The following is a 1,331-nucleotide window of genomic DNA, read 5'->3' on the forward strand; positions in this document are numbered from 1 at the left end:
GACGACATCCCACATACTTAGAAGGCTCAGAGATCGTGTCTCTCTTGCAAAATGTAGGCATAGCAAAATGTAGGCCTACCTAGTTACTTTTGTATTCCTAGGATTCTAGAATCACAGTAGAAAAAATAGGTGTAGTGATGCCTACTTGGCATTTGAAGTCACAATGCCAATCTGTCACCATTCAGTAAGCAATATATAAATCCTGCCTGCAGCTGCAAAAGGGCTCCTGTCTTCAGTACCCACTTCATTTATTTGAAAACAAAGCAAAGAACCTCGCTCAACAGCTTTTACAGGTATGGTGACTGCTGTTTTTGCAATTGATTAGGCTCCATTTGTTTATATAATATTAAGGAGTATTGCAGGCACCAATCTTTCAAGTTGCCAACTCCAAAACACATTGTTTTCAGTTTCTTTAATGTAATTAATCTGTAGACTTCTGTGCTAGGTTAACTGAATCGATTTTTTTCCTGCCCCCTCCCTCTTTTGTCACTTGACAGCTTGAAACTGGGTCTGGAAAAGCTCATTTGCATTCCTGCAGCAAGGCCCGGAGAATAAACCGAGCAAACGTGTCTATTTGTGTACTTCAATATATGACTGTGCTTGCTTCAATCAAGACTTATTTTCAGTATCATGGCCAACAAAAGCATTAAACGAGTTTTCTCTAACATGAATGATAAGCTGTAGAATGCATTTCTTTAAAGTAATTTTTTTCTGTGACGCTTATGGAATGCAGTGAAAAATAGAAGCAAGAGTGCAAATCTCACTAGAAATTCACAATGCTGCCTTGCCATTTGAACTCTTTCTCCTTGTTTCCTGACATGTTAAGTGCCTTCATTATAGTTTAGGTTGTACCTGATTATAAGTTTAAAAGGTTACAGTTATATCTCAAAAGTAATTATTTTTAAAAATCAGTATTTCACATTGAACTTCAAAGATTGCATTCTCAACCCAAGATTGTCATTTTATATACTGATATATTTTGGGAATTGATGCTGGTCTTGACTTCTTAGAATGAAAAATACCTAAAGCATATTTTTTTCAGGCATTAGTATTGTTTCAACATAATCCCTTCTGAATACTTTTTCTAATTCTTCCCCTATGAAAATACTTGGTACATTTTCATTTAAATTTTTTTTTAACTGTCTCCCATCCTGGGGTCAAACATTTAACTGAATCCAATTTTTTTTTTTTACTATAACTTATGTGGCTTCAACTATAAAGTCAACATCTGTGTGTGTCCATGTTTCTCTCTCTCTCTCTCTCTCTCTCTCTGTGTGTGTGTGTGTGAGAGAGAGAGAGAGAGGGAGAGAGAGAGAAAGAGAGAGAGAGTC

At 36.2% G+C, this 1,331-nt stretch overlaps 1 long non-coding RNA gene across 1 annotated transcript; it reads left to right on the forward strand.

The window, feature by feature from the left end:
- The first annotated feature begins 201 nt into the window (after positions 1 to 201).
- Positions 202 to 671, forward strand: LOC124905953 (uncharacterized). Its single transcript, XR_007088665.1, has 2 exons — positions 202 to 293; positions 498 to 671. It is a non-coding gene; the product is annotated as an uncharacterized LOC124905953 (long non-coding RNA).
- Positions 672 to 1,331: the final 660 nt, after the last annotated feature.

The sequence above is a fragment of the Homo sapiens genome, chromosome 2 (assembly GCF_000001405.40).
Source record: "Homo sapiens chromosome 2, GRCh38.p14 Primary Assembly".
Taxonomy (NCBI): domain Eukaryota; kingdom Metazoa; phylum Chordata; class Mammalia; order Primates; family Hominidae; genus Homo; species Homo sapiens.